This window comes from Homo sapiens, chromosome 15, assembly GCF_000001405.40.
Source record: "Homo sapiens chromosome 15, GRCh38.p14 Primary Assembly".
NCBI lineage: Eukaryota > Metazoa > Chordata > Mammalia > Primates > Hominidae > Homo > Homo sapiens.
In genome coordinates this window covers 77783250-77802150 of record NC_000015.10, presented here as the reverse complement: position 1 = coordinate 77802150, position 18901 = coordinate 77783250, and the positions used below count along the sequence as shown (strand labels likewise).

Here is an 18901-nt window from a genome sequence, read left to right as displayed (position 1 = left end):
CCTCCACGCACCCCATGGGCTCATCCCCCCACTCTCTGTACATATAGGGAGAAACACACCCCAGCTTCTCCCTCTTTTCCTCGCTCTCTCTCTCCCTTCCTGCAGCACTGGAGCCTTGAAGCCCCCTTTCCTGGAGTTTTCTGCAAAGGCCCTTTCTATGTTCCCTTTATCCCTCAGCCCCAATTCTGGGTTCCCCAGGGCTGTGACCATCTCAGGGTTTTCTGGATACCTAGAGAAACCCCTGACCCTCGCCTGGGAGGCCCGGAGACGTGCTGAGGAGTCACAGGCCCTGGCTGCCGGTGTACCTTGAGCAACCTTCTGACCCTGTCGACCTTGGCCTGGGGGAGCGTAGGCATGGGTTCCACAGTCTCCAGCTGAGCTTCTCAAACTGGTCCTAGAGCCCTAGTGTTTCCAGAAGGGGCCTCAGGATACGAGGGTGGGGCTGGGACTGGATGGGGCTGAATGGATGGATGTTGGTCCCCTCCCCCTTTAGCCAGAGCAGCCCTGCTTAGATCTGCATTTCCTATTAGGGTCTGAGAAGGATTAAAAAAAAAAAACCCATTAACTCTTTATTGATTTTGTTTTTCTGATTACAACAGAAGACCCAACAATACATTTGTGGAAAACAGGCCATGAAAGCCCACTTGTCCCACTGCTCGGAGGTGATTGCTGTAAAGCTTGGCGTGCTGTCCTCCAGCCTTTTGGGGCATATAGCAACAAATCGTTAATTACAGAAATGGGCTCATGCTGAAATAGCATTTTACAGCTTGATTTTTTCTCTATTGTTATACATAGACGTGCCTCACTCTGTCAGATGGCTGCAGAGTGTTCCATAGTGTGGACATGCTATATTTTATTTGAACTTTCTCTTATCGATAAACGTTTAGGCCATTTCCAATTTCTTTTTCGGTCTTACCAGCAATGTTTCCGTGAGCATCCTTGAGCATGTATACATGAATGCTTGTGCTATTATTTCATGGGAGAGGCTCCCAGAAGTGGAATTACTAGGTTGTAGAGTGTTTGGGTTAAAATGTTAATCAGTGTTGCCAAATTACCCTTCCAAAGGTTGAGCCAATTCCCCCTCCATCCAATGGTCTGGGAGTGCTCATTTCCCCACATCCTTGCCAGCACTGCTTGTTATCAATCATTTAAATTTTTCCCAATCTGATAGGCAAAAAATGGTAGCATGTCACTTTCATTTGCATTTCCCTGATTGCTAGTGAGATAGAACATCTTTTCATGCATTTATTGGCCAATTTAATTCCTCCTCTGCAGATTTCTAATTCACTGCCAATTTTTCTCTTCTTTTGTCTTTTTTCTTATTGATTTGTAGGGGCTCTTTGCATATTAGCGACATTTTCTTCCATTGTCTCATTTGCCTTTTAACTTTGTTTATGTGTCTTTTGCTGTACGGATGTTTTACACGTTTATGTACAGTAGTTGGATTTGTTGAATTTTCACTTTATGGCTTCTGGATTTAATGTCTGGCATATAAACGCTTCCTCCACTGCATCAGATTTCATTTCAAATAAGAATTTTATTGCTGAAAAATCTTTGCAAAGCCCTGGTTTGTAGGCTCCTTCCCAGCTGTGTGTCTGTTCCTCTCGGCAGCTGCAGGCCTGGCTCTGGGGGAGGGGAGGGGTGGCCCCATCCGTCCATGCTCCATCTCCATCTTCGGCTCCATATCCATCTTCAGCTCTCTACTCTCCCTCTGTCCAGCTGGCTTTGGGGTCACTGCTGCTCTGTCTCTCTCAGAGCCTCTGTCTCTCGTATGCTCTGCCCCCACTCCTCTGTCTCTGCTGTTTTCCCATCCCCAGCTGGTTTCCCATCAGACAGCAGTAACTAGGGACGTGAGGTGGCAGTGGTGGCAGCCCTTAGTTGGGGACAGGATGGCAGCTGTCACGGAATGTGCCCCCCTTGCCCTCCACCTGCCAGCCTAGCCCCAAGTCATGTGGGCTGGAAGGGGAGGCCCTGGCCTGGTTCTCTCTCTGGAAGAGACTCTTTTCCTGCCAGAGCCCAAGGGAGGGCTCTGAGCCAATCCTAGTCCCTCCTCCATCAGGAAGCCTTCCAAGACAGCTTCTTCCTCCCTTCCCACAGCTCTGGACCTGGCCCTCCCTTCTTTCCTTGCGGCTCTTTCCCCGTCCTGCCTTCTCAGTGCTGAGCTTCCTGGAGTCCACCTGGCCACCTCTCAGGGCCTTGGTTTCCACCTGTGTAGCATAGGTCCTGGGAGGCTGTCACAGCCGCTGGGAGGCATGGCACACACACAGCTGGCGGGTCTTCCAAGCCAAACTCTGGAAGGTGTTCCCTCTTACTCTCTCAATACAGCCCCATCCCTCAAAAAAAAAGAAAACAAAACAAAACCCACCAAAAATCACAGGGGAGAGCTTGCATGCTGCTGACAGAGATAGGGACTTGTGTTCCTTCCGTCAGAATGGTGGCCAGCAGGGCTCACTGGTTCTCTGCTCACCCCAGGCTCAGTGTCATGCCTGGCTCATGGGAGGTGCCCAGGAAAGAGAGAGAGAAAGGGCAAGGACCTAATGAACAAAGCGGGAGCTGCTGAGGCTGGGGGAGGAGGAGGCAAGTCTGGGGCCCACATTCTTTGAGTTACTTCTGGGTAGCAAGGCACTTTCCTCACAGTCCGTCATTCCTGGGGCCTGGGGTGCTAATGAGAAATACCACCCTTTACCTCCTGGAGGTGTGGGCCCCAGGTGGACTGTAAGGGGGCCTTGGGCTGTGGGAGCAGCTGGGAGAAAAGTTGGGGAAACTCAGAGGTCTCTTAGAAGCATGGCTCAGAAGTGCATAACCTAAAACTCTGAGGGACCCTTCCCTGGGCTCCTGCAGTCCCTGGCCTTCTGGCCTGGCGCCCGCCCTCTGATCATGATGGTCTGTCTCCTCTGAGCAAGAGCAGTGTCCTTTATATCTCTCTGTTCCAGTGACCAAACACATGGTAGGTACTTAACAAAAGTAGAATGAATAATGAGGAAATAGCTAGGGGTATTGATCAGAGGGGCTCAGGTCTGGGGAAGAGGAGACCTGGGCTCTGGGCTTGGCTTTTTGGTTGACTTTCTGTGTGACCCTGACCCTGGTTGGACCTCAGTCTCCCAATCTGTACAGTGGGCGTGGGCCTCTCAAGCTCTGTGATTATGCACCATGTTGTCCAGAGCAGTCACAGGCCTACGTGACATACCCACACAGCACACATACCAGGGCCCTGCTTTCTGATCAGTGTTTGCTGAGTGTGTACCGGGTGCCAGCCCCACTCAGTGCTGAACCCACTTTGTCAGAGTCCTTGAAGAGCTGTTTCTGTGGAGGTCTCACATTCTCCGGGGCATTTGTTCATTCTGCTGAACACACAGACTACACAGGCTGAGAGCTCCCTGGGCTCCACTGGGGTGGCAAGGAGCCAAGAGGGCAGGTAGGAGGCCCCCAACCTTGGCTGCAGCCCCCTCCACCCTCCTTGGCTGTGAGGCCTGCAGCTGGGGTTTCATGTCTTTCTTGGGACCTGGCACACTGGCAGACCTCGTGTCCAGGAGAGTGCCCGGCTCCCACTGCGTCTCCTCCCCTGCCCCAAATCATTGTCACGCTCTGCCTGTGGCCCCATTTCCATAGCAACTCCTTGTGATGCCACAGAGGAGAGTGGGAGCTTTAGGAAGCTTTGGAAGGTTTGGGGGGAAGGGAGCGGGAGGCCCATTCATTGTCTTGGAGCATGGCAGCCGGGGGCCCGGAATGGCACTGTGGGGATGGCTTACCCTGCCAGCTCAGGTGGAGCTGGGCTCAGGGCCGCCAGCCAGGTGGTCTGGAGGCCTTCCAAGGACAGGGCTGCCCGGGTTGGCCTGGGCCTGACTGGCTTGTGCCAGTCTATCGGGATCCAGCTTGGGAGGCCGCTGACAGTGCCCCTGTCTGACTAGACCTGGCTTGGGGTACCCGGGCCTGAGGAGCTGCCCAGGCTCTGCTACCCCTGTGTCCTAGGCTGGCACCACTATGTTCTGTCCTGTCCTCCAGGATCAACAACCAGTGGGAGATGCACCCAGGGCCAGCTGGCAACAGGGGCCTAGTTTGGGGCTGGTGAACCGTGGGGCTGAGCAGGTCTCTCTTCACTGGTCTGGGCTGCTTTGTGGCTCTGTTGTCAGGATTGGAAAGCCAAAGTGGGCCCTGGAGCCTGCTCAGCACCCACTTCTCTGCCTCCTTGGAGAAGTCTGCAGCCCATAATATATGAAGACCCTGGCCCCAAAGCATCTCCTACATCTTCACCTACCACGCGGCTAGAAATTCCAACATTTGCATCTTAGATTTGATAGAATGTTGATTCTGGGAGGGACCCTGAGGGCTTTTCCATCTTCTGCCCACATTATAGCTGTCACCTTGGAGCCCCATCCACCCATCCTTCCATCTATCCCATCTGGAAGGCCTTGTGAATGCCCCTGGGGTCCTAGGCCTGTGCTGGACGGCACCCAACAGGGAATCGAGCAGAAAGGAGGGGCTGGTCTGGCCCTCCAGGGAAGGCGGAAGCTGCTTGCCCTCTCAAGGGCTGCTGGGAGCCAGGTGCTGGTTCGATGCCAGCTTCCTGAGCTTCCCTTTCACCATCACGGTTGAAGCCACCCCTGGGCACCACCTGCACTTGTGTTTTCTTAATCCTTGTCTTCGTGTGGACTTTCGTTTGAAGGTGGATTACCACAATGCTCCCCAAGCACACATCCGGAAATCACACCTGTGATGTGCCTGTCATGTTTTTTTTTCCAATACACAGAAAGAGAAACACGTAGCTATGAAAATGAAAACATTTGTCTGCACACCACGAAATCCCCTTGTGCACCCCCAGAAGCATGTGTCTCCTACTTTGGGAAACACAGATCTGATTGAAACCTTTCTGCAGCAGCTCAGAAAGATATTTGGGACTTGGTCTGAGAGGTTGAAGAAACTGAGGTACAGAGGAAGAAGCTTTCCCCAGGGCCACCTGGCCAGAAGGAGGGAGAGCTAGGAGTTAACCCACTTCCTTGGACTTTGAACTGAGGTTATGTCCTGCACCATGGACGCCTCAGAGCCTTGCCAAGGAACCAGAACTTCCTAGCGCCCTCCCCTACTCACAGAGGATGGAGGGTCTGGTCTAGAGGAACCCTTGGAGAATATATGATGAAGAAATAAAGTAGGATGGCTGGGCATGATGGCTCCGCCGATAATCCCAGCACTGCGGGAGGTCAAGGCAGGAGGACTGCTTAAGGCCAGGAGTTTGAGACCAGCCTGGGCAACATAGTTTACAAAAAAATTAAAAAATTAGCCAGGTGTGGTGATACACACAACTGTAGTCCCAGCTCCTTGGGAGGCTGAGGTGGGAGGATCGCTTGAGCCCAGGAGTTTGGGCTACAGTGAACCATGATGGCACCACTGCCCTCCAGGCTGGGTGGCAGAGCAAGACTCTGCCTCTTTAAAAAAAAAAAAAAAGGCAGGAGAGGCTGGGGAATGGGAGGGTGAGTAGATGGGGGTTGGGAAGTTGAGGCTCAGGCCCAAGGGAGGCACCCCGGTGCTGCCCATCATCCCCTCTCGGGGTCAGCCTGGGGCCTGCCTCCTGGGAACTGGCTGGGGAGGAAGGCAGGCAGTGACATTGGCTGCACACCTACTGTGAGCCAGGCCATGTGTCCCTTCTCTCTCTCTTATCTTCCCAGCAGTCCTGGCAGGAGAGATGGTATTTTTCTTTTATGGATAAGAGAAGTGGCTTTTGCAGGGCCACAGAGCCGGATGGTGGGAGAGGCATAGTCAGACTCCAGCCTGCCTGGGGCCACAAACTCTGCGCTTCCCAGAGCCCTGCCTGCCCCCAGCTAGTGCCATGAGTGTGTGTGTGTGTGCACGCCCGCACGCACATGTGGGCATGCACAATTGACAACACATCTATGTGTGTAAGCATGAGTTTGCCAGTGAATGAGAGTACATGTGTGAGTGTGTGCAAGTGTGTGCATGTCAGAGTGTGTGTGGGGGGGATGTATGAGTTTTTAATGGCTCAGCCAGGCGGGATCAGACCCCATTTGCAGGCGTGGCCCCCACTGCACCCCGACCACCTGCTGCCCTGCTCTAGCTGACAGCCACCTCTTCTTTCTCCCCACAGCCTCCGGCACCCACAGGCCCTGAGGCTCCAGTGCCCACAGGCAGAGAGGGCGACTGAGTCCAGCCCAGGCTGAGCCCTGCCCAGCTGTACTCCCCAGACACCCACCCAACCCGAGGTAAGATGCCACTCTGGGTGGCAGGGCATGGAGGGTGTGGGGTCTGTAGGGGAGGCTGTCATGGGGCCATCTTTCTGGGGGTTTCCTCATCTCTCCCTCCCCACATGCAGCCACGTCCAGGAGGTTTGCTGTGGCGGTGCCACTTGCTGCCAGACCTGGCTGAAGCAGGGCTCCGGCAGGCAGCTTGGAAGCGTGGGGCGTTCTTCCCAGCAAGTGGGTTTCACGGACAGTGCCGGCTAATGGGTTCCCGCGTGGCATGGGAGGTCTCTAAGGGCAGGCTGCAGGGCTCTGTCCTTGGTCCTGTCACATTGTTGACCAAATGTGTGCCTGACTTCAGGTCAGGAGGGAGCCAGAACATGTGGACTGAGACAATCAGGGTCCAAGAAACTGTCAAGAGGCTGACATTGGCTCTAATGTGTGGAGTTTAACAGGGCTCCACACCAGAGACAGCGTGAGGGTCTAGACACCTTCAGGGCAGGATAAGGCTCAGACCCCAGGTGTGTTTGTGCGACAGTCATTGGCAGCCAGGTGACCTTGGCTCTCTGTGAACAGAGGAGATGTGTTCTTGGACTTTATCACGAGGAGCAGGACCCCCAGAATGTGGGAGGCGACAGGTCCTCTCACTTCATGGTCCGTGTGAGGGGATGTGGAGAAATGACAGCATGTTCCAGAGAAGTGGGAGATGGGGAAGGAGGGGGACCTGGGTTGCTGCCTGGCTTGACCCCGGCTTGCTCATGACCTTGGACAAGTCACCTCTACCCCATATCTGGGCCAATCCTCTGTTCTCAACAGGCCTCTGTCACCCATGAGAGGGCTGCAGAGGGACTTTGCTAAACAGAGGGAACGGTGGGGTGGGCTCAGGGCAGCAGGCTGGCCTGGCGTATTGTCCTCATTTTTCAGATGAAGAAGCCTGGTGGCAGGCCTGGACTCCCTTCTCCTGAGGGATAGGGTGACGGTTGTATGTGGCTGAGGCTTAGCCAACCCTGTCCTCACACTGGGAAGCTGGTGGGAGCGGAGGCCTGGATTTCCTTCCCAGGCACTAGGCCTTGCTCCGAAGCCCAGTTAGCACCATCAAAATATTTCTGCTTTGGGAAGCCGAGGTGGGCAGATCACAAGGTCAGGAGATCGAGACCATCCTGGCTAACATGGTAAAACCCCGTCTCTACTAAAAAAAATACAAAAAATTAGCAGGGCGTGGTGGCGGGCGCCTGTAGTCCCAGCTACTCGGGAGGCTGAGGCAGGAGAATGGCGTGAACCCGGGAGGTGGAGCTTGCAGTGAGCCGAGATCACGCCACTGCACTCCAGCCTGGGCGACAGAGCGAGACTCCGTCTCAAAAAAAAAAAAAAATATATATATATATATATATGTGTGTGTGTATATATACACATATATACGTATATATGTATGTATATACATATATGTATGTATATACACATATATACGTATATATGTATGTATATACATATACGTATGTATATACACATATATACGTATATATGTATGTATATACATATACGTATGTATATACACATATATACGTATATATGTATGTATATACATATACGTATGTATATACACATATATACGTATATATGTATGTATATACATATATGTATGTATATACACATATATGTATATATATACATACATATATATATATGTATATGTTTCTGCTAATTAGTTGGCTCTGGGTAGAATGAGCAACTAATTAGTCCCTCCAGTTTAACCTGTAATTGCTGCTGAGAGATGGGTGAGAAGATGGCGTCAGGATTGTCTGTGCAGCAACTGGGGTGACAAGGGCAGGGGGCAGGAGCGTGAGCAGCCTCCCCACTGCCCAGGCAGACGGCAGCACCCACAGGCACCACAGCCCGGGGGCATTGGGAGCTCAGTGGGCGGGGAGATGCAGGCGGGAGCTGACGCAGGGCAGGAGGGCCACAGTCAGCTGGGGGTCTGGCAGGGCTTGTTGGAACAGGTGACACCTGGGCTAAGCCTTGAAGTCTGTAAGGTGCTTTTCAAACATTTTATTTTTCTGGTTATAAAAAAAGTAATGTGTGTTCTCTATAGAAAAGTGTGAGCGCTTGGGTGTTTAGCCCGTCAGTCTTCTACAAAACATGTATTTATGACATAATTGGGATCAAGCTGTACTTACTGTTTTCTAACTTGCCTTTTACACTTAATCCCATACCAAGATTATTTTCCCATCATTAAATACTCTTCTATAATGTGATTTTTAATGGCAGTGTAATGTTTCAGCCTGCGTGTACCATAGTGCGTTTAGCCAATTCTCTGTTGTGTATTTTGATGGTTTCTGATGTTCTGTCATTATAAATAATGCTTGGATGAAGAAAGTCATGGATGTAGGGTTGTGACAGGCAGGGAAAGTTTAGGGTGGCAGGGTAGGCCCAGCCTGAGCAAAGGTGCAGTGGTAGGGGAGTTTGGAGTGTGTCTGGGGAGTGGCAGGGCCAGGGCTGGCATGGAGCACCGGAGGCTTGCACCGGAGGCTGAGGAATTGGAGCTTCACTCAGCAAAGCTCTAAACTCCTGGAGGAAGCTCAGGTTTGTCCTTGCTGCCCCTGCTTCTGTTGCTCCCTCCCTCGGTGCTCCAGTGATTAGAGGGGAAGAGGCAGGATGCTGTGTGTTCGGGAGGAAAGGGTAGGCAAAGCTGTGGATCCCAGATGACCTCTCCCTCCCTCAGTGGTGGGATCCGTGGTGTTTAAACCAAGACCCTCTGCTCTCTGGGGAGCCTTGCCCAGGTCTCCTCCTGCCAGGCAGGAGGGATGCAGGCACCAACTCTGAATACTTACAGACTCCTGGGTCAGCACAGCTGGTCAGACCAGCCTCTCCTTCATCCCCTCACTGGGGGGTGGCTTATGACAGGGACCCTGGAGGGCCAGGGAGGAGGCTGGAGGTGGTTTGTCGTTTCTTCCAGGAAGCTCCCCTGACCTCTGGGTAGAGCTAATGGCCTCTCCCTAGTGCCACCCTCCCTGTGCACATCTGTTGGCCCCAGCACTGCTGTCGTGCTGGGTTGGGATCACCTATGGGTGTGGGCCTGTTTCTCCCAAGGATGAATGTGCAGTGGTTTGTTCATTCTTCCTTCAGCGCATACTCACTGAGCGCCTGCTACACATGAGGCATTGTTCTCTGTGCCCAGCATGGCATCCATGGGTGAATAGGTTAGACCATGGCATTGCCCTCATAGAGCCTAAATTGTAACAGAGTAGACAGAAGAAACCAGATAAGTAAATCCGTAATATAAGATTAGGGAGTAATAAATGCCACAGAGAAAAATAAGGTTGGAAAAGGGGGCAGGCATGAAATCGGAGCTCTTCTCTGGAGCCCTTCTCTGGAGCCCTTCTCAGGAAAGTCCTCTCGGATGAGGGGCCATTTCAGCAGAGGCCTGAGGAGAGGGAGTAGGCCTTATGGAGCTCTGGATGGGCTTGGAGCTGGGACCAGCACAGAGGCCCTCACAGCTGGGCAGCCCTTGAGGAAGAGGGGCTGAGAAACGAGGCATGCAGGGCCAGGAGTTACAGAGTGATGCCTACTGGAGAAAGGACTGTAGGGTGGGTGGGCAAGAGTAGAAGCTGGCAGGCCAGTGGGAGACCCCAGCATCAGTCCAGACCAGAGGTGGTGGGGCCGGGCCTGGGTGGGAGGAGGGCTTGCGTTTGGAGACTTTGAAGGCGTTGCTGAAGGATGGGCTGTGGACTGGGAGAGGGCCAGCCTGGGAATGGGGCGGGCACTGGAGCCTTGGCCCGAGCCGAGGAACAGGGGTGGAGCGTGGGTTTGGAGGGAGAAGCAAGATCCTGCTTGGAAGTGTTTGAGGTGCCGGCATCATGAGGGGAGGCTGCACAGACAGTAAGCCTGCAGCTGCGGGAAGAGCTGGGCTGGAGAGGCAGTTGTGTGGGGAGTCAGCATCTGGGTGGTATCTGAAGCCTCTGAGCCTGGACAAGATGATGTAGAGAAGAAATCTGGGCCTCATTGCTTGGGGTGAATCCAGCCCTGGGGAGCTTCCTGCTTCTGGGTGGGCTGTTACTCTAACTTTGCAGACAAGGTCCCCTGATTTACCAGCCTGGAGAAACTGCTACCAGCTCGCCCTCCCAGCTGCTCCTCCCAAGTGGCCTAATGGATGGCACCATCATTCTGTAACACTTGTCACGGCTGCTGTCAGCAGGAAGTGTGAGGCTGGTACTAGGCCTAATCCTCTCACCCTTTCCTCTTGTAAGGGACTCTTAACTGGTGAGTCTGGAGCAGGCCAGGCCCTTCTGAGCCCTACTAGTGGGGACTACTGCAGGCCTTCCTCCAGGTCATGTTCCCCCTCAAGAACCTTCAGTGGCTCCCTGTTGTTTAAGGTTGACATCCAGAATCCTTCTCCTGCTTGTACAAGGCCTTTCATGGTCTGCCTCAAGCCCACACTTTCTTCCCCGCCCTTCTTTCCAACAGGTGACTCTCCTCCTCCATCCCCCACACACCAGGCTCAGCCTCACCTTCCATGTAGAATGCTTTCTTAACCACCAGCAAATCTCACATTTTCCAGAATGTCTTCCCTTGACCCCCCGCCTCCCTCGGCCTCTTTGCGTGTCCACGTGTGCCTTTCGCCTGTTCCCCCAGGCCTCATGGCTTGTGGTGAGCTATCCTGTCTGGTCACCCCAACTCAGCAATGTCATGATCCTCAGCTTGTCTTCCTCTTTGCCCTCCTCATCCTCTTGTCCCTCATGTCTCCTGTCTGCCTGCTGCCCCACCCTCAAGTACTGTTGTCAAAGCTCTTCCCAAACAGAATCCCATTCAAACCATGGTGCTCTGTGGGCCAGGGTGTCCAAGCCTGGCTCTGCATCAGGACCACCCAGGGATGTTATTAGAGACAGGAATCATCTGGGGTCCACCCAGACCTCCTGATCCAGGGTTGCTGGGAGAACCCAGGAATCTGCATGGTTCACAAGCCCCATAGTCACCTTTTGATGGTCAGCCAGGTTGGAACCCATTGGCCCAACCCAAGCTCATGATGAGGGAGTATAGGTATCCCTGAGATCGTGGTCCTCTGACCTTTACTTGCACACCTTCAGGGACAGGGACCTCACTCTCTCCAAGGCAGCTCAGGCCCTGGAGGGAGCTCTTACATGGCTCTTCCTTATACTGACTGAGCTGAATCCGCCTCCCTGAAGTCTCCATGGATGGCTCTAGGGTCCACATGGGGCAGGAGCTATGTTTAGCATCTGGAAGCTCTCCTTTTCCACCCCCCCAAACCCAGCGGGGGGCCCAGCACGTGGTGGGGATTTCAGCAATGTCTGTGGCTTGGTGGAGGACCTGCCTCCCTCCACCCCTGCCTTCCTGGGGCCTCCCCAGGGCATTGTTCTCATCTGTGCCTCCCCAGTCTTCTCTTAAAGAAGAGAACTCATGGAGCAGTGCAGGGCTTGGAAGACCACCCCCCACCCTGGCCCTTACCCTCAGGCCCTGGCTGGGGCCACACCACCCAGCCCCTCTGTGTGTCTGTTGTTCCAGCCATCGCTACAGGTGTCGAGAGCTTTAGTATTTCCAGAACACAGCCCATCCTACATCCCATCTCCTCCTTATCACAGCCACATGGAAGGTGGGTGCTGCCATTCCTGTTCATTCTTCCAGCCAGCATTTACTAAGCACCTACTATGTGCCAAGCAGTGTTCTGGGGATAAGTTGAACAAACTAGGGTTTAGAGAGGGGCAGGGGTGTGTCCAGTGTCCCAATGTGAGGGGCCAAGTCAGCACTAAAACCAGGTCTGTGGGTGTATTAGTTTGCTAGGCTGCTATAGCTAAGTACCACAAACTGGGTAGCTTAAACAGAAATGGATCGTCTCACAGTTCTAGAAGCTGGAAGTCTGAAATCAAGGTGTCGGCAGGGGCTGGGCACTGTGGCTCATGCCTGTAATCCTAGCACTTTAGGAGGTTGAGACAGGAGGATCGCTTGAGCCCAGGAGTTTGAGACCAGCCTGGGCAACATGGCGAGACATGGTCTTTACAAAAGATAAAAAAAATAGCTGGTCGTGGTGGCACACACCTGTGGTCCCAGCTACTTGGGAGGCTGCTTGAGCCTGAGAGGCTGAGGCTGCAATGAGCTATGATTGAGCCACTGTACTCCAGCCTGGGTGAAGAGCAATTCCCTGTCTCAAAAAAACCCCAAAGCCCCAAATCCCCAAACCCCAAGGTGTCAGCAGGGCTGGTTGCCTCCAAAGGCTGTGAAGGATGATCTGTTTCAGGCCTCTCTCCTTGGCTTGTAGATGGCTACCCCGTGTCTCTTTACATGGCCACATTGCCAAATTGTTCTCCATACAATATTTAACTATTTAATCATTTATTTATTTTTTTGAGATGGAGTCTCACTCTGTCACCCAGGCTGGAGTCCAGTGGCTCTATCTCAGCTCACTGCAGCCTCTGCCTCCTGGGTTCAAGCAATTCTCGTGCCTCAGCCTCCTGCATAGCTGGGACTACCGGCATGCGCCACCACACCCGGCTAATTTTTGTATTTTTAGTAGAGATGGGGTTTCACCATGTTGACCAGGCTGGTCTTGAACTCCTGACTGCAGATGATCCACTTGCCTGTGGGCCACTGCACCCAGCCAGTATTTAACAATTTAGACCGTATCTCCAAATGCCTCCTTCTTATGGGCACAATAGTCGTATTGGATTAAGGGGCCGCCATACTCCAGTATGACCTCTTCCTAATTAGCTAATTATATCTCAAATGGCCCAATTTCCAAATAAGATCACATACTGAGGTATTGGGGGTTAGAATTTAAGCATGTCATCTTTGGAGGCACACAATTCAATCCCTAACAGCAGGCGACTAGAGCTATGATTTTCACAGCAGTGAACTGTCCACTGGCAGCCTTGGCGGTGGTGAGCATCTCATGCCGTGGGGTGCACAGGAGGAGTATCGAGGCCGCCCCAAGCTGTCAGGGACATGGAGAGGAGGTTCCTACCTCATGGCCAGGACCAGGGCTTCCCTGAGACCAGTTTCAGCCTGGGATGTTAATCGGGGCCCAGGAACATGGTACATGGTGTGTACTTGTCGTGATCCAATCCCCGTATCCTTTGGGTGAAAGGCAGGTTCCCATCACTGGGTTAGGAGGAAGAACCCCTGAGCTCTGCCGCCTCTTAGCAGGGTGCCCTCAGGTAGTGGCTTCGACTTCTGGGCCTTGGTCTACCGGACTGAACTGGGGACTAGTCTGCCTGCCTGTTTTTGTCACAGGCCTATGGTTAGGCTCACAGGAGAGAATGAATAAGAAGGTGCTTTGTTTTTGTTCTTTTTTCATGTATTCACTTTGCAAATAGTTATTAAGCTCAGCTGCATGCTAGACTCTGTGCTGTCTCCAGGGACACAGAGGTGGTCCTGGTCCTGGCCCTCAAGGAGTGCCGAGGCCATGGGTGGGGCAGCAGGTGTAGGTGGTAGTTGAAGTTATGACCACTCTGGAGCCAGACTCCCGGGACTCAGTCGCAGCTCTGCCACGCATCAGTGGTGTGAATTTAGACAATTTCCCTAAGGCCTTTGGGTCTCAGTCTCTTCGTCAGCCAACTGGGAATAATGAGAACGTCTACCTTGCGTGGATAAAGTAGGTTGAGGCATGTAAAGGGCTTAGAGCCGTGTCTGGCACATAGTAAATGCCTGATAAATATGAGTGGCCCATCCAGGGGAGTATGATAGAGGGCCGCAGAGGGGGTTATAGGGGGCAATCACTGAATCATTGAATTTAGGCTCTGAGAACCCGACAAACATGGTGGCCCAGGCAGGGCAGGGCGGGGCTATCATCGCCTTCATCTTTGAGCTACCTGCCGTCCTCCACTCCAGGTGTCTCGCTGTGGGTTGGGGTGGTAAGGAGGGGTATGGAGCAGGCATGCCCACGGGGAGAGGCAGGAGCCTTCTCACAGTTGGTGGGGCTCCAGGGGTCTGTGTGGCTCCGGGGTTCTATGCGGTGGCACGAGGCTGCCTCTCCTGTCTCTGCCCCTGGACAGCTCCACGTCTCGGGAGGTTGGCAGCTGTTGCCTGGTGCTTGGCTTTGTTAGCCTTTGCATTTAGTCTGCAGGTTCTGGGGAGAGGAGATGGTGAGGAAGCAAAATTAAAATTCCTCTTTGAGAAGTTAACAACTTCCCAATTAAAGGATTCTTATTTGTGAGATGCCTTAGAGGCCTTTTCAATCAAGAGGCTCTTCTGAATAATAAAAAGGCTGAGCTGGGGTTGGAGTGGAGCCTAAACTGCCAGCAAGGAGGTGGGGACGCTGAAGATGGGCACACCGGCCTCGTGTGGGATGGGGTGGCAAAGGAGTGGAACGCTTTTCCGCTCAGCGGTTGGCAGGGAGGTTGGCATGGGGAGGGCAAAGAGGAGGGGACTGTTCCCACCCCCACCCCCCACAGCCCTGAAGCCCCCTCCAGTCCCCAGCCTGAGCCGCATGCGTGGGAACCCTCCACCGGGACCCCTGTGTCCTTCTGGCCCACACCCTGTGCTTAGCCTCTGCACACTTCCCGGAGGCTCCCTGCAGCTGTGTTTCTTGTCCTGCTTGGCTCTCGGTTTTATCAGTGCCTGACCACTTCCTAACACTCAGCTATCCTGGGAGCACCCTGCCAGGCTCCTCTGGCTCTTCGCCTCAAGCCAGGGTAGAGGAGGGGGCAGGTGGGAGAGGCGAATTGGGATTTGCTAAGGATGGTATGCGGCAGTGGACGCAGGCCCGACCGTGCGCTCTGGATGGGGGCGGCGTCCTTTTGGCTTCTGAGATCCCAGCTCCCTGGTGCCCATGCCACACCTGCTATGCTGTGCTCTCACAGGGGTGGTTTTGTTGCTGTTTGTTGGGTGTGTCTACCTGCCTTTCAGCCAGGCACCCCCACCCAGTGTGATCCAGCTGGTTTCCTGGGAGACTCTTGGGTCTGTCCCAGTTGGAGCTGAGTGTCTGCGGGTGTCCCACGAGAGGCTCAGCCTCAGGTCCTGCGGGGCTGACCAGTGTGCAGAGTGCCCTGAAAGTGCCAGGCCTGGCTGGGTGCTTCCCATCTTCACAGCAGCTGAGAGGCAGCTACCACCACCCTTCTTATAGAAGAGGAAGCAGAGGCTTTGTGAAGTGAGGTGACCCTTTATGCAGAGAGGGGTTCTTGCTGAAAGGACTTGTCATCCTCTGTCCTCCAGGGCCCTCCAGGTCACTAAGCAAAGAAGAACTGGAGACATTGGCCAAGCCCCTCCCCTCAGTGGCCAGCCCAGGCTTTGACTCTGCCCCAGTACAGGCTGCCCCAGTAGTTGCCAAGGTCATTCGAGGAGATGGTGCCACGGGTGGCTCCTCTGTCCAGGCGGCATGGAGGGCGGCGGGAGTGTTTGTAGCCCATACCTGCCATCCCCTCCCTCCTCTGCATGGCCTACTTTCCAGGCGCCATTGCAGCCGAGGCCGTCTGTGTAAATATCCAGAACTGTAGGAGCCCGGCCCCTCTGAAAGGTCAAATAGCCACGCAGGCACTCCCCAGAGGCCTGGGGTTGGGGACCATCCAGCAGTCTGGGCCACCAGGGAGGGGAGAATGGGTCCTGCAGATCCCAGGGGTGGTGGGCGGGATGAGGTGAGGTGTCCTGATTGGCTGCCCTGACCAAGTGGGAGCTGAAATAATTTGGATTCAAGTCCCAGCCCTGCCACTTACTGGGTGGCCTTGAGCAAGTGACTCAGGCTCTCTGGACCTCTTTTTCCTCCCAAGTGGCATACTAACCTCCCTGAGGGGTGGTGAGGATCAGTTGGGATGGCACAGGTGAACCTGCTGGGCCCAGGGCTGGTGGGTCTTGCATGTGGAACCTGGATTTGTGGGCTGTGTCTTAACGGCACTGTTTGGTGGTGCTGGTTCCTGTCTCAGCCCTGCTTGCTTCTTGCAAGTGATTCATTTCTCCTAGTCTCAGTTTCTCCCATATGCACAATGGACATAATGATACCTACCTCACGGAGGCGTTGTACTCCCTCAGTGGGAGTTCTCTGTGCCCTTCCCCCGCCTCACTGAATGAGCCTGTCCTCCCTAGGTACACAGTGGGATTTGCCTGGGGTTGGCCGCCACATCATGAGTAGGTGACATGGTCCTTGCCTCTGGATAGCAACATGAAGTTAGAGGGATCAAGGAGAAATGCTGTGAGCCTCAGGAAAGGGAAGGAGATAAAAGCTGGGGAAGTCAGGGAGGGCTTCCTGGAGGTGTCTGGTCCTTAGAGCTCGGGAGGATTTGGGGAAGCTGGGGGTGGGAGAGAGTGACAGAGAGCACGTGTGGTTGGGAATAGTGTGAACAAAGATCAGGCAGGAGGAGCAAGCCCAGGACAGGGCATGAGCTGTCTGAGAGCTGCTGGGGGCTGGGGGTCAGAGCCCTGAGAGGTCCCAGCCCTGGAGCCCTGGTCGGGGTAGAGGACCAGGAGTTGGGGGTGGGACCACTGTCTCCTGACTAAGGGCAGGGGGACAGCAAACATGCAGCCACGGTCCTGGGACACAGCCTTACCTGGGGGTTGCAGGGAGGGGCAGGATTTAGCATAGGGTCTGTGGACAGGACTGCCCACGCTCCAGGGCCTCAGTTGGGAAGTGCAAGGGCCTGTGTAAGGCCTGGGAAGAGGCTGGTGGCTGCTGCCCAAACTGGCAGGACCCCACCTGTGGAGATCAGCCTGCGGGCCGCCTTCAGCCAAAATGTGTGAACTAGGGGCTCTGGCTGCTTGAGGGCCAAGAGAGGGAGATGTGGGAGGGGTCTGCAGTGGGCTGAGAGGGCTGGGAGGCTCACCCTTGGTGGAGCACCCACTGTGTGCCAGGCCCTGAGTCAGACTCACTCCCAACTTGGGTTTGTGTAATTTGCATGACAGCCTGGAGAGGGCGCCGGCTCTTAGACTCATTCTAAGGAGCTGGAAACTGGGAGAGGCAAATGACTGGCCTGCCCTGGCCGTGTTTCAAATCGAACTCCACACATCATGCTTTTTCAGTGGCCCCATGCTACTCCCCAGGGCTGTGGATTTTAGAGGTGATGACCCCGGACTTCCCTGGGCAGGCTTGGAAGAGCTATACCCAAGTATGCAGTCTTCCTTGGCTTTGCCTCTCTTAGGGAGGCTCAGAGAGGTCAAGGGAGTGATCCAATGCCACACAGCGCTGGGGTCTGCAGTACCTGGCTCCCTGGAGGGCATGTGCCATGATCCCTTCTCCCTGGGGTCTGGTGGCCCCAGCCAAGCCCTACCAGGTCTAAGAACCCAGGGGACCTTCCCAGGTGTAAGACTACTCATGCCTCTGAGCCACCGAGAGAGGCTTTAAAATCTCAGCTCCAAATTAAAACCTATGAGCTCCTCAAAACAATGAAAAATTTCCCTAATAAAAGGAGAGGCACACTCAGGCATGTCCTAAATGAATGGAGTGACTTCAGGGATTAATTCAGGATGTATGGGAGGGCACCCAGCCGGGAAAAGTGCGCAGTGGATATTGTAACAAATTGTTTGCTCACAGGAGGAATAATTCTTAATGTGCACTGGCTGCAAAGGGAAGCTACCTTTGCTGCCTGCAGCACGATCCCTCATCAGCCGCTTGCTGGGCAGGGTCTCTGCTAGGGCAGCCTTACCTGTAAGCCTCTTGGCCTTCAGTGACAACCTTCCAACCTCACAAGCTGGCCTGAGTGGGACTGAGTGGGCCCTGCGTGTGTCCTTAGAGCCCCATGGCCTTCTGAGTTCTGCTCTCTCCTGCTGGCTCTGTGCCTTTGGCTAGGGTGGGGAAGGTGCTGGCTGGAGGCCAATTCTTCCTCTTCTGCTATGCGAACCAACTCTTCCTTTTGGGACCTCCCGGAGACCCCGGCCTGCCAGTCCCCCCACCTCAGACCACCCAAAGGAGGGTCCTGACAGATTGTCTCTCAGCATGCCTCAGTTTACCTGTCCCAGGCTTGGGCAGCTGCCTCCTCCCCAGCTCCCTTGCCTCGGGGATGAGTGGGGTGGGCGCAGCACCGTCCTCCCTGGCCAGCCCTCCCAGCTTCCTAATGTCTCTGTGCCAAACCTGGAGGAAAGGCGAGGCAAAGTCAGTCTGCACCCAGGAACATAAATGAACACCACTGAGGTGCAAACGGAGAAAGGCTTCCTGTATCCCACCTCCCACTCCCGGCTGGAGTGGGTCCAGCACCGAGGAAAAAAAGCACTGGCTCCTGAGTCAGGCGAGCCTGGATTTGGGTCTAGCTTCCCTGCTTTCTGACTCTGGGACTCCAGGCAACTCCCACAATCTCTCCAGCTTCTTCCTCTATAAGACATGGGATTCGTTTTAGCAGCAGCAGCAGCATCTCACGGTTTTGAGATACAGTCTCATCTATCCACACAGCCGTCCTAGAGGTTGGGACCTGGGATTATCCCCATTAAATGGACGAAGAAACCGGGCTCAGAGGGGTGAAGCCTGGTTCTCTCTGCTTCCTTGTAGCTGCTTCATGAAGTTGTTTAGAGAAAAGGGCCCTGATTATAGATTCTGTTCCATGAATGTCAGCCCCACCTGCTCCCTTTCCTGAGCAGAAGAGGTGCTGAGGCCCTACCAAGGTAGGGGCAGGAGACTTTGGGAGCAGGGACCCTGATCCTTCTCACCTCTCCCGTCTGGCTTGGAGCCAGCCTGCCCTTTCATTCACACCTTCATTCACCCGCTCATCACTTGATGAAACACCTATGAAGCACTGTATCCCCAGCAGCTAGAACGTTATGCACACTGCTCCTCCCCTCAGGTAGCTTCC

The 18901-nt window shown here is 54.2% G+C and overlaps 1 protein-coding gene and 1 long non-coding RNA gene across 10 annotated transcripts in view, besides 4 other annotated features; one reads left to right on the top strand and one right to left on the bottom strand.

Annotated features, from left to right (window-relative positions):
• LINGO1 (leucine rich repeat and Ig domain containing 1) overlaps nt 1-18901 on the top strand; it is a 207874-nt gene that overhangs the window by 18750 nt on the left and 170223 nt on the right. For 7 of the 9 annotated variants that reach the window (NM_001301186.2, NM_001301187.2, NM_001301189.2 and 4 more), the window contains exon 2: nt 6098-6212. The gene's annotated coding sequence lies outside the window, so the exon portion shown is untranslated. Of the gene's footprint in view, nt 1-6097; nt 6213-15101; nt 15283-18901 lie in introns of those variants that run through there. The other 2 variants (NM_001301195.2, XM_024450091.2) reach the window with 1 other exon arrangement.
• Nucleotides 1523-2022: an enhancer, noted in NCBI's record as "H3K4me1 hESC enhancer chr15:78092471-78092970 (GRCh37/hg19 assembly coordinates)". NCBI's record gives its function as "activates a minimal SCP1, AML or CMV promoter by ChIP-STARR-seq in naive H9 embryonic stem cells {active_cell/tissue: H9 hESC(naive)}" and the evidence as "EXISTENCE:reporter gene assay evidence [ECO:0000049][PMID:30033119]".
• Nucleotides 3597-4296: an enhancer, noted in NCBI's record as "H3K27ac-H3K4me1 hESC enhancer chr15:78090197-78090896 (GRCh37/hg19 assembly coordinates)". NCBI's record gives its function as "activates a minimal SCP1, AML or CMV promoter by ChIP-STARR-seq in naive H9 embryonic stem cells {active_cell/tissue: H9 hESC(naive)}" and the evidence as "EXISTENCE:reporter gene assay evidence [ECO:0000049][PMID:30033119]".
• LOC141374963 (uncharacterized) lies at nt 13474-15015 on the bottom strand. Its single transcript, NR_199613.1, has 2 exons — nt 14904-15015; nt 13474-14262 (listed from the first exon to the last, which is right to left on the bottom strand). It is a non-coding gene; the product is annotated as an uncharacterized LOC141374963 (long non-coding RNA).
• Nucleotides 16733-17234: an enhancer, noted in NCBI's record as "H3K4me1 hESC enhancer chr15:78077259-78077760 (GRCh37/hg19 assembly coordinates)". NCBI's record gives its function as "activates a minimal SCP1, AML or CMV promoter by ChIP-STARR-seq in naive H9 embryonic stem cells {active_cell/tissue: H9 hESC(naive)}" and the evidence as "EXISTENCE:reporter gene assay evidence [ECO:0000049][PMID:30033119]".
• Nucleotides 17310-17893: an enhancer, noted in NCBI's record as "H3K27ac-H3K4me1 hESC enhancer chr15:78076600-78077183 (GRCh37/hg19 assembly coordinates)". NCBI's record gives its function as "activates a minimal SCP1, AML or CMV promoter by ChIP-STARR-seq in naive H9 embryonic stem cells {active_cell/tissue: H9 hESC(naive)}" and the evidence as "EXISTENCE:reporter gene assay evidence [ECO:0000049][PMID:30033119]".